The sequence below is a fragment of the Homo sapiens genome, chromosome 11 (assembly GCF_000001405.40).
Source record: "Homo sapiens chromosome 11, GRCh38.p14 Primary Assembly".
Taxonomy (NCBI): Eukaryota; Metazoa; Chordata; class Mammalia; order Primates; family Hominidae; genus Homo; species Homo sapiens.
In genome coordinates this window covers 77,898,600-77,910,962 of record NC_000011.10, presented here as the reverse complement: position 1 = coordinate 77,910,962, position 12,363 = coordinate 77,898,600, and the positions used below count along the sequence as shown (strand labels likewise).

The following is a 12,363-nucleotide window of genomic DNA, read 5'->3' as shown; positions in this document are numbered from 1 at the left end:
ACAGTTTCCATTTCTATTCAGAATTTAATGTTGCTATTAAAAAGTAATGAGGCAGCTTTCTATGAATGCTGAGATGGTTAGGTAATACACAAACACACACACACTCACATTCCTCCCCTAAAAAAGAAGAAAGCAAAGAAAACCAGTACTTTTTGTAAATGCATGGCATATCTCAAAATTCAAAAGAAACTGGTAATAGTAGTTGCCTCTGGGAAGGTATACAGGGTGGCAGGGCTACAGGGCACAGGCGTAGGAAGGGGGACTAATTTAATTTAATTTAATTGTATATCCTTTGAAAGCTATACCTTAAGTATGTATTAACTATTCAAAAAAACTAAATTTTTTTTTTAAAGAAACATTTTCTCTTTTTATTATACTTTAAGTTTTAGGGTACATGTGCACAATGTGCAGGTTAGTTACATATGTATACATGTGCCATGTTGGTGTGCTGCACCCATTAACTCACCATTTAGCATTAGGTATATCTCCTAATGCTATCCCTCCCCCCTCCCCCACCCCACAACAGGCCCCGGGGTGTGATGTTCCCCTTCCTGTGTCCATGTGTTCTCATTGTTCAATTCCCACCTATGAGTGAGAACAGGCAGTGTTTGGTTTTTTGTCCTTGTGATAGTTTGCTGAGAACGATGGTTTCCAGCTTCATCCATGTCCCTACAAAGGACATGAACTCATCATTTTTTATGGCTGCATAGTATTCCATGGTGTATATATGCCACATTTTCTTAATCCAGTCTATCATTGTTGGACATTTGGCTTGGTTCCAAGTCTTTGCTATTGTGAATAGTGCCACAATAAACATATGCGTGCATGTGTCTTTATAGCAGCATGATTTATAATCCTTTGGGTATATACCCAGTAATGGGATGGCTGGGTCAAATGATATTTCTAGTTCTAGATCCCTGAGGAATTGCCACACTGACTTCCACAATGGTTGAACTAGTTTACAGTCCCACCAACAGTGTAAAAGTGTTCCTATTTCTCCACATCCTCTCCAGCACGTGTTGATTCCTGACTTTTTAATGATAGCCATTCTAACTGGTGTGAGATGGTATCTCACTGTGGTTTTGATTTGCATTTCTCTGATGGCCAGTGATGATGAGCATTTTTTCATGTGTCTTTTGGCTGCATAAATATGAAAACTAAATGTTTTAAATCACCAATAATTCTAGCACAACTATTTTATTTGTGTATGACACTTTCTAATTTCTTACTATAGGCAGATATGTTTTCATATGGTTACAGTCATTGTGTCTATACTTATATCCAGTTAGGATGCTTTTCACAAGCTAGCTTATAATGGCTATTTATTTCCTGCTATGATCTGAAAGTTTATGTCTCCCCCAAATTCATATACTGCAATCCTAACCCCAAGGTGATGTTATGAGGAAGTGAGGTCTTTGGGAGGTGATTAGGTCATGAATGAGATTAATAACCTTTAAAAGAGGCCTAAGGGAGCTCGTTTGTGACTTCCACCATATGAAGATACATGTAGAAGGTGCAACCTATGAGGAAATGAGCCCTCACTAGAAACCAAATCTGTAGGTGTCTTGATTTTGGACTTCCCAGCCTATACAACTGTGAGAAATAAATTTCGGTTGTTTATAACCCACCCAGTCTATGATATTTTGTTATAGCAGTTGCATGACTAAGATATTTTTCCAGATGTCCAGAAATTGGAGATATGGTATGATTAAGTGGCTTATTTATATCATTGAGGACCTAGTTTCTCTATTTCTCTTTGGACTTTTCTTGTCTTCAGCATTGGCTTTATCTTAAGGGTTTTTCCCTTAGAGTTACAGTATGCTGCTAATGGCAATCAGGGCTATAAACATCCTTGCCCAGTCCGGCGAGAGACAGACAGACACACCAATTTGTTGTAAGCATGGAATAAAGTACTTTCAACTGAACTGATAAGGTCAACTCAGGTCACATATCCAGACAGACAATGTGCACTAATTGGCTTAGTTCAATCAGATACTACTTGGAATTGGGCTTGGGGACATGTTCCCTTGAACAAAATCAGAGTTCAATTAGTAATAAAGAAGTGGAGAATGGCTAACTGGACAGGCAACCAACAGTGTCTACCATAATACCTTTTAAAAAATAATGTTTTTTTCTGATACAAAAAAATACTTGTTCATTGTCTTAAAAACTCGGAAAATAAAGCATAGTTGGGAGAAGGTACTAAAGAGCACCCTATTACCATTATCCAGAAAACCACCTCAATGTATTTTTCTCCTCTATATAGTTTTTACATAGTTGAGATCATACACCTTATTAACCATTCCATATTTTAATGGCTACAAAATATTTACTTGGGCCGGGGGCGGTGGCTCACGCCTGTAATCCCAGCACTATGAGAGGCCGAGGCAGGCAGATCACGAGGTCAGGAGCTTGAGACCAGCCTGGCCAACATGGTGAAACCCTGTCTCTACTAAAAATACAAAAATTAGCTGGGTGTGCTGGTGTGCGTCTGCAATCCCAGCTAGTCAGGAGGCTAAGGCAGGAGAATCGCTTGAACCCAGGAGACAGAGGTTGCAGTGAGTCGAGATCACGCCACTGTACTCCAGTCTGGGCAACAGAGCGAGACTCCACCTCAAAAAAAAAAAAAAAAGATGGATGCAGCAAACCATCATGACGCGTGTATACCTATGTAACAAACCTGCACGTTCTGCACATGTACCCCAGAACTTAAAGTATAATAAAAAAAAATTTACTTGATTGGATGCATCATAATTTACTCAATATTTTTTTCACCATTGAATAAGTAGCTACTGAGTTTTTACTATAATAGTCCACATAACAATGAATATTATGACCCATAAAGCATTTCATTTCTGTTGAATATTTCTCTTAGTATACTTTTCAGTGTAAAGCTATGAATCAAACATTTTACCATATATGTGCCTTTATAACAGTACGGTTTTGCTTTCCAAAAGGGTTACATCAGCTTAAACTACTATCACAGTGTGAGTGAACCAATTTTATTATAACCACTCCAGCATTCAGTGTCGTCATTTAAAAATGTATGACTGTTTACTAGGTATAAAATGATAAAATGCTTTTGACATGATCTTTATGTTGGTGGCATTATCCTTATCCTGTGTTTGCCTTGGGGGTTTTATTTACTATAGGGATCTGCAAAGACTTGGAGAACTTCAATCTGAATTGGCAGGAGTAGCTGATTTCTCTGCCACCTATCTTCGCTGTCAACTACTTCTCATCAAGGTTGGTTTGCATCCATTCCATTTATGATTGTGTTGCTAAAAATGCATCTTTGTGGATCCAGCAGTGTGTGAGGCCATAAGTTATAAAACTTATGGTCTTAATGCAACCACTTGACAATGGAGAAATATGTACTCTGCAGTGTGATTACATTTGTCTCTAATTAACGAAATATTAACTCATAGGAATTTGTAAATTTGGGGAGAATTCTTTTATCATAATATAATTAGAGCAGATTGGATAATCATTTTAGTTAGAATCCCAAGGTTGTAAATGTTTTGTATAATTTGATTAGCAAAGGAATTGTATGAAGTTTTAGACTATCTTCTTAAAATGCTCATTTGAAGGCCAGGTGCGGTGGCTCACACCTGTAATCTTAGCACTTTGGCAGGCCAAGGCAGGAGGATCGCTTGAGCTCAAGAGTTTGAGACCAGCCTGGGCAACATAGCGACACCTCATCTCTACAAGAAAATTTAAAGTAGGCAGGTGTGGTGGTGCATTCCTGTATATCCAGCTACTCGGCTGGAGTTGGGAGGACTGCTTGAGCCTAGGAGGTCAAGGCTGCAGTGAGATTGCACTCCAGCCTGGATGACAGACCAAGATCCTGTCTTTAAAGAAAACAAACAAACAAACAAACAAAAAAACTCACTGCACTTCATCAAAGTTAAAAGGTTGATTTCATTGCTTTTAAAAAGACCAGCTTGCTGGCGTTTCTTACTCAGTAGTCAGCTATACACAGAATTGGTACCCAAGAATCTATTTAGTTTTGCTGAGTTAAAAAACAATTAAATGAGTTCAGTATCTTTCAGCTTCTGTAGCAGAATTTTACTATAAATTTTGGCACAGAATTTAGGAGAGCCCTTCTCACTTGACGAACTTTTATCTTGGCCCTAGTTCAAAGTGTTCTTTGTTTTCAAAGTGATTAATGATGTTTGGCTAAAGTCAGAGTAAATCAGGGAGTCAAAAGTTATTTTCTACTGTGTGAACTTGTGCTAAATGTTATATTTACAGTTGTGCAGGTGTGCCTATACATGTAAAGGTGCGTATGTATACTTGGCACTTAAATGGTCCTTGTTAGGCTAGATATGTTCTTTCTAATGTATATATCTGTGTAATCACCACCATAGGCAAGTCGTAGAACATTTTCATCACTCCAAGAAGTTCCTTCCTGCCCCTTTGCAAGGTTGTTTGGCTTTTCCAAGCCTCTGTGAAACCCCAGGAATTCAAGGAGGCCATGGAGAAGAATCCACTTTTCTATAGTAGCAAAATATGGGTGAGGAAAGAGAAGTGATTACTCCTAAAAAGAACACATAATTGTTGGTTATTCAATGACAAGGGGTGACAGTGTAGGTGAGGGGCCCAGAGCCAGAACCCAAGGCAAGTGTGTTTAATAACAGGAAAAAAGCTAAATAAATTTTGGTACAGCTACCTAGCAGTATATTCTGTAGTCAGTAATTCTTTATGAAGAATTATACAACAACATGACAAAATATTTAGGGTGTAATGTTATGTACCCAAAAGAAGGGGAGCCAATCATAATCCCAAAAGATAGTCCAGAACATCATAGTCCTAAACTGTTTAAATTCCAAAAGACTAAAATCCCTAAGGTCTAAAATCCCAAAAACCACAGCCCAGAAAATATCAAAATCCCCAAAATATAATTATGGAAGAAATAATTTAAAAAATTTAAAGATATTTATTTTTTAAAGGGGAATTTATTTGAGAAACATAAAAACACAACAGAATACTTTATACATCACTTAATATAATAAAACAGACAATAACAACATACATTTTTGCAAGCATAAACACTCAGGTTACTAATGACAGTTGGGTGGGTCTAACAGTTATGAGCAGATGAGCCATATTTATAAAGAAATTGGTCATAAAGGGAAAGGTATAAATGCATATCACTTTGGTTGTTAATTGTGTATACCCAGCTTTTTAACTGTGGTCATCTGAAATACTGTGCCCAACAACCTCAAGTCTTTTGACGAGATTGATGGAAACTGTGCTGGGTCACCACTGCATATGCAGTCACCCAAAGAGCTGAGATCTCAAGAAATTTTATCTTTCACAAATGCAGATGTACGAAAAGGATATCTCATTTATCGAGGAAGTTTCAACATTTTGTGTACACACTCAATGCTTATACACAAAGTCAGTATTGTGATGATGCACTTTCATGGAGTCAGATTTCTGATATCCAAGCAGCAGAACCCAGAGAGTCCGTTTTGCTATATTGCCTTTTTTTTTTTTTTGAGACAGAGTCTCAGCTTATCATCCAGGCTGAATACAGTGGCGTGATCTCGGCTCACTGCTGCAACCTCTGCCTCTTGGGTTCAAGCAATTCTCCTGTCTCAGTCTCCCAAGTAGCTGGGATTACAGGTGTGCACCACCACGCCTGGCTAATTTTTGTATTTTTAGTAGAGACAGGGTTTTGCCATGTTGGTCAGGCTGGTCTCCATCTCCTGACCTCAGGTCATCCACCCACCTCGGCCTTCCAAAGTGCTAGGATTACAGGCATGAGCCACCACTCCCAGCCCATTTCGTCTTAAGTATTTGTTCTCTCCTGGCCACTGGCTGATTGGATGGTGCCCGCCAACATTGAGGGCAGATAGTCTCCACTTAGTACACTCAGATTTATACACTAATCTCTTCTGGAAACACTCTCATAGACACACCCTCAATGTGTAAAACAAAATAATCTTTTACCAGGTTTCTGATATTCCTTAATCTAGTCAAGCTGATATCTAAAATTAGGTCCACAAGTCCACCCCTTGTCAGCTTGGCACTCATACGCATCTCCTTAAGCCATATTTAATTTCCAAATAAAGACAATAACATGGTAATAGTTGTGCCTAACATGATACAACTAACATGATGCAACTATCCTGCATACAACCCAAAACACGCTAATCACTTCCCCAGAATTTGGATGTGAGGATTTCAACATTTGGGATTGTATGTTTTGGGATTATGATCTAATCCCCAAACTTAATTCTGCTTTCTGACTACAACTGTCAAAAAACATGCATACAAGAAATGATTAGAAGTAAATATTCCAGAAATTCCTATAGTTTTTATCTACAGTTTAGACCTACCACTGTTTAATTTGATAGCCACCAGATACATGGGACTCTTGAGCACTCAAAAAGTTGTTAGTCCAAACTGAGATGTGTTATTAAGTGCAAAATACACACTGGATTTCTCAGACTTAGTATGAAGAGAAAATGTAAACTAATTAATAATTTAAAAAATACTGCATGGTGAAATGTTAATATCTTGGATATACTGGGTTAAATAAACTTTTTTAAAAAATTAACTTAGTCTTTGTATCTTAAAATTAACTTACATCTTTGTAATTTAAAAACCGTGGCTACGAGAATATTTAAAATTATATATAGCTCATGTTATATTTCTATTGGACAGTGTTAGTCTAGGTTTTCTGTAATGTCATTTGATTACATCTGTAATTCAGAAGGACTGAGAAAATAAGAGGCTGTCACAGAAGTTTGTGCAAGGGATGAGGTCATGTGGATGGATAGGTGAGGAGAGAGATGGAAGGTAAAATCATGGCTCTTAGTGGTGGTTTTGAATGTAGAAAGATTGAAAGAGGGAGAAATCTAGGAAAGCTGCTTGATTTCTAGTTGAATATGTTGATAAAGTGGTTGGGGCTTACAACATAATGAGCATAGGGGAAAAGAAAAAAGAACCACAGTTAAGGAAGAAGTATCTAGGTGGCTTGGGTTAGTCCAGTAGCTCTGGGAACAAGGAGTGCCTAGAGCCCGGAAGCTGGCTTGCCTGCGCATTCTGGTGAAGCTTTCGTGGTTCCTGTCCTCTGCTTCCAGAAGCACTGATCTGGGACACAGAGCCTTTGGGCCAAGAATTGGATCAAATGGGTGGGAATTCATTTAGCCCAAACCATTGGTCTCATCTTTCTCCATAATAGATACAGCTTATTGGGTTAAAAGAATAAGATCAATTGAGAAGTCATGTTCATGGGAGACTTTCAAAGGAAAACAAAAATGTAAATCCCAAATGATAGGCCAGTCTTTGTGACCTCGGTATTCTGTTCCCTCCTGATTTGTCTGCGTAGGCCTTGCAGGAAAAGTTGTGGAATGTAGCTGCCCCTTTGTATTTGAAGCAGAGTGATTTGGCCTCAGCAGCAGCGAAACAGGTAAGCTTATTCAGACCTTCCCTTCAAATAGGTCTCTGTCCAGTAATTGTCTGGTCCAAGACAGAGCCAGAGGCCTTCCTATAGCTCTGTCTGTGTAGGCCTTGCAGGAAAAGTTGTGGCATGTAGCTGCCCCTTTGTATTTGAAGCAGAGTGATTTGGCCTCAGCAGCAGCAACACAGGTAAGCTTATTCAGACCTTCCCTTCAAATAGGTCTCTGTCCAGGAATTGTCTGGTCCAAGGCGGAGCCAGAGGCCTTCCTGTAGCTCTATACCTCTGCTGTGGCCTCCCTAATTTCAGGCTATGACAGAAGTTAGTGATATGAGAAGGAGCATAACTAGGAGACACAGCACTCACTTTGGACTCAGGGGACCTGGGTCCTAGTCCCAGGTCTTCCTCTGATTTGCTGAGTGATATTGAGCAAGTTACTTAAATTCCCTGGATTTTTTCTCTTCTATAAAATGTGGCAGTTGGGCCGGGCGCGGTGGCTCACACCTGTAATCCCAGCACTTTGGGAGGCTGAGATGGGCACATCACTTAAGGTTAGGAGTTTGAGACCGGCCTGGCCAACATGGTGAAACGCTGTCTCTACTATCATGAATCTTTCATCTGAAAATGTAGCCCAACTCAGTTAAGGTTGTTTATATCTTTAGCCTGTACCATCTCTTCAACGTTAAAAGGTCCTGGGTAGTTCATTAAGTAGGCTTTAATTTTATTTGTCTCTAGTTTATTTCTTTTTAGCTTTGAGTCATTCCCCTTTGCACCTGAGTATTGAGACTTGGTGATCTCTTGCAGGTCAAGTCTTCCAGATAGGGAGTCTGTAAATGACCCAGGAGGAAGCTAATGATGGTGACTGTTATTGTTACATTACAGTTCACTAAATGATTTCAAGTCTATTAGCTTAATTAACCCTCATAATAATCCCATTAGATAGGAATAAGTATTAAGTCTGTTTTAGAGATGAGGCAGTTAAGGCTCAGCAAGGTTAAATTCATAGAGCTATAGGTAATACAGTCAGGACTTGAGACCAGATCCTCTGATACCCAGAATCTGTTTTCTACTACAGTGCTGAACTCTTGTCTGATCCAGACTCTTTCTCAGACCTGGTATGTGGCTTATTGTAGAAGAGTAGAATTTAATGACTAGAACCCGATAATTGAGCCACATTGGAAGGATGGGACCAGGGAGCAATAATTTGGAAGGAAAAGAGGAAAGGAATTACCATTGCTGTATACCAGATACTGTGATAAACACATTGCATGCTCCATTTGATACTTGAAACTTCATGATATTGGTACTGTTTCTTCCCTGTTTACAGAAAGGGATTGAGACACTCATGTAATTTAACTTGTCTTATTGCCAATTGTAAGAGAGTCTGGAGTCATTTCCGTGACCCTAGAGTGTTCACTGGGAGGCAAGCACAGAAGGAAAAGAGAAGCATCATTTTGATGAAAATCGCTTATTTGGATAGAACCGAGCAAGATCGGGGACTTGATCTGGGGTCATAGACAAATGTTTTCTTGCACTTATTTCTGTCCCAAACTCCCTCAGACCAGGCCCATGGAACAGTCTGTCAGGATAACTAACATATGGTTAATAGTTCCTGATGCTTAATTCTTGAGGACTTTGTGGGGATTGGGTTTCCATACATAATATATATTAATTTGTTCCCACAGCAGAGTGGGCTTCATTTAGGGTAAGAAGCAGTGCTTTCAGTGCTTTGCAGTTTGCTTAGTGATTAAACTTTCTTATCTTCACATCATCAACTAAGATGATTTTATTACCAGGTCAGTCTTCTTTTTAAGTAGGCAAAATAATTTATTCTCTTTTTACAAGGCATACTATACTAATTTCTTTCAACACTTAAAAGCATAAGGATGTAAAATCTCAGTTAAGAGTTTCACCTAAGGTCATTTAACAGTAGAATTCTATGCTGCTCTCAAGTAAGACTATGATATTTTTATTGATTGTTAATTATCTTTCCTTTATAGATTATGGAAGAGACCTACAAAATGGAATTCATGTACAGTGGTGTGGAGAATAAGCAGGTGGTGATTATACATCACATGAGGCTGCAGGCCAAAGCTTTGCAACTTATAGTAACAGCACGAACTACACGAGGGTAAGATGTGGGGTTGGCCAAAATATGTGGCATGTTCCTTTCAAAGATACTTCAAATGCATTCAGACATCACACGAAAGTTAATGATAAGTGAAATGAAATTTAGGAAAGACTAGCTAAGGAATGTGTGATCTATTCATTTTTTTCAGATATTACAAATTCTGTTGTTGGATCAGATTAGACCCTTGGAAATCCAATTGTGTCTCTCCCTTGCTAAAAACCCTCTGGTGACTCTCCATTACATATAGCACAACACTGGACTTTATCTGGCAATAAGGACACTCTGTATCCTCCTACTTGATAGATTTCCTTAAGAATTTAGTGCCAGGGACCACTTTTTCTGTTCTGAAGGGACTAATAAGCTTTTTCTCAGGCAATAAGGATAAATTAAGAGGATGTACTGGGAAGTCAGACTACTTTGTTCAAATCTTGTCTTTTCTACTTACTAGTTGTTTGGTTATGAACCTTTCTGTACCTTGTTTCCCTGTACAAAATGAAAATGAAGACAGCATCTACCTCATGGCATTTCTATGAAGAATAAATGAGATAATACATGTAAAAACACTTAGCATGGTACTTGATACGTAATAAGAGCTCAGTGTAATTATATCTGTAAGACTTTCAGATAACTGGAATTGCCACATTTCATTGATTCCAAGATACACATTTTTTATTATTGTAACTTCTCTGAAATCAGATATTTTGATGGTGTCCCATAGTGTTTTTTGTTTCTTACTATTTCATAAAATAAAGGTGCATCTTAAGAATGATGGCATCATAGATTTGATACAAAAAAGTACTTAGGTGACTCATTGCCAGCTCACAGACATGTTTGATGCTCAGTCCAGCTCCTGTGTCAAAAAAAAAAAAGTGCCATAGAGATATAAATATGAATGCTTAAACACAGAAACATACTAGGTCAGAAATAACATCCTGAAAAATAAAATATTTTATTTCTTCACGTATCTTGATAGTGACCTCATAAAGTCAAAGAATCATTTAATCTTAAAGATATTCATATGTGGCCGGGTGTGGTGGCTCACACCTGTAATCCCAGCACTTTGGGAGGCCAAGGTGGGCAGATCACGAGGTCAGGAGATCAAGAGCATCCTGGCTAACATGGTGAAACCCTGTCTCTACTAAAAATACATAAAATTAGCCGGGCATGGTGGCATGCACCAGTAGTCCCAGCTACTCGGGAGGCTGAGGCAGGAGAATCTTTAGAACCTGGGAGGTGGAGGTTGCAGTGGGCCGAAATCACACCACTGCACTCCAGCCTGGGCAACAGAGCAAGACTCCATCTTTATATAAAAAAAAAAAAGATATTCATATATTCATTTAACAAATGTTTAATCCCTACTATGTGCCAGTTATAGCTGAAAAAACAAAGGTGCTTGTGATGGCATCTATACTGTTTTTTAAAAAAGATTTTTTTTAGTTTATATATAATTGTTAGAAAAATTAAAATATTACAGGGTAAGTGAAGGTTCTCTGGTAATCTACCACTTTGAAAACAGCTGCCAGCATTTCATGTGTATACTTCCAGATTTTCCCAAACCATATAAACATAGATTATAAAGATGTGTACAATAACATAAAGGGGATCATACCATACTTTGCTGTTCTGCCTCCTATTCCTTTCACCGAGCATTATAATATGCTTATCTTGTCATGTCATTATATAAAGATACTAATGTTTTTAGGTCTTTACTCATGCTATAATATTTTATATTTTTCTTTTTTTTTTCTTTTAGACAAAGTCTCGCTCTTGTTGCCCAGGCTGGAGTGCAGTGGTCCGATCTCAGCTCACTGCAACCTCTGCCTCCTGGGTTCAAGCGATTCTCCTGCCTCAGCCTCCCAAGTAGCTGGGATTACAGGCATGCAACACCATGCCCGGCTAATTTTGTATTTTCAGTAGAGACGGGTTTCACCATGTTAGCCAGGCTGGTCTCGAACTCCTGAACTCAGGTGATCCACCCGACTCGGCCTCCCAGAGTGCTAGGATTACAGGCGTGAGCCACCGAGCCCAGCCTATATTTTTCATTTGTATGCATTCCTGCTTTTTTCTTTTTTTTCTTTCTTAGGTTTTGCTAGATTGTTTTCTTTTTTCCTCCAGGGGTTTGAAAGTTATGCACCCTAATTCTAAACTCTTCAAGTGAGAGGCAGTAGAACATACTGGTTAAGAGGGCTGTGGTGCCACATTGCTTGGGTTCACATCTTGACTTTACCATTTGCAAACTGAGTAACCCTTGGACAAGTTACTTAACAATTCTTGGCCTCAGTTTGTTCCCATAAGTTAAACTGAGATAATAGTAGTACCTATCTCTTCCTCACAGGGTTATTGTAAGGGTTATTGAATTATTATATGCAAAACCATTTATTTATTTTATTTATTTATTTATGAGACAGAGTCTTGCTCTATCACCCAGGCTGGAGTGCAGTGGCACGATCTCAACTCACTGCAACCTCTGGTTCCCGGGTCCAAGCAACTCTCATGCCTCAGCCTCCCAAGTAGCTGGGACTACAGGCACATGTCACCACACTCAGCTAATTTTTTTATTTTTAGGAGAGATGGGGTTTTACCATGTTGGCCATGCTGGTCTCAAACTCCTGGCCTCAAGTGATCCACCTGCCTTGGCCTCCCAAAGTGCTGGGATTCCAGGCGTGAGCTACCGTGCCTGGCTGGATTATTGTATGCAAAGCCTTTAAAATAGTGTCTGTCACATCCATTATAAATACTTGATACATGTTAACTAATATTAGTTTTAGTAATACTGTTATTACTTATATTTTTAATGAACATATTGAACTTATATTTATCA

General features: G+C 38.7%; 2 protein-coding genes across 13 annotated transcripts in view; one reads left to right on the top strand and one right to left on the bottom strand.

Annotated features, from left to right (window-relative positions):
• Positions 1–12,363, top strand: part of INTS4 (integrator complex subunit 4) — a 120,307-nt gene that overhangs the window by 83,706 nt on the left and 24,238 nt on the right. For all 4 annotated transcript variants that reach the window (XR_002957208.2, XR_001748036.3, XM_017018560.3 and 1 more), the window contains exons 16-18: positions 3,153–3,246; positions 7,343–7,423; positions 9,412–9,542. Coding sequence is in view for 2 of the 4 variants with exons in the window: in XM_017018560.3 (XP_016874049.1) it covers positions 3,153–3,246; positions 7,343–7,423; positions 9,412–9,542 (306 nt within the window). In the remaining 2 variants the exon portion in view is untranslated. The remainder of the gene's footprint in view (positions 1–3,152; positions 3,247–7,342; positions 7,424–9,411; positions 9,543–12,363) is intronic.
• AAMDC (adipogenesis associated Mth938 domain containing) overlaps positions 4,939–12,363 on the bottom strand; it is an 84,881-nt gene continuing 77,456 nt past the window's right edge. For all 9 annotated transcript variants that reach the window (NR_171642.1, NR_171640.1, NR_171643.1 and 6 more), the window contains one exon: positions 4,939–10,392. Coding sequence is in view for 5 of the 9 variants with exons in the window: in NM_001316957.3 (NP_001303886.1) it covers positions 10,277–10,392 (116 nt within the window). In the remaining 4 variants the exon portion in view is untranslated. The remainder of the gene's footprint in view (positions 10,393–12,363) is intronic.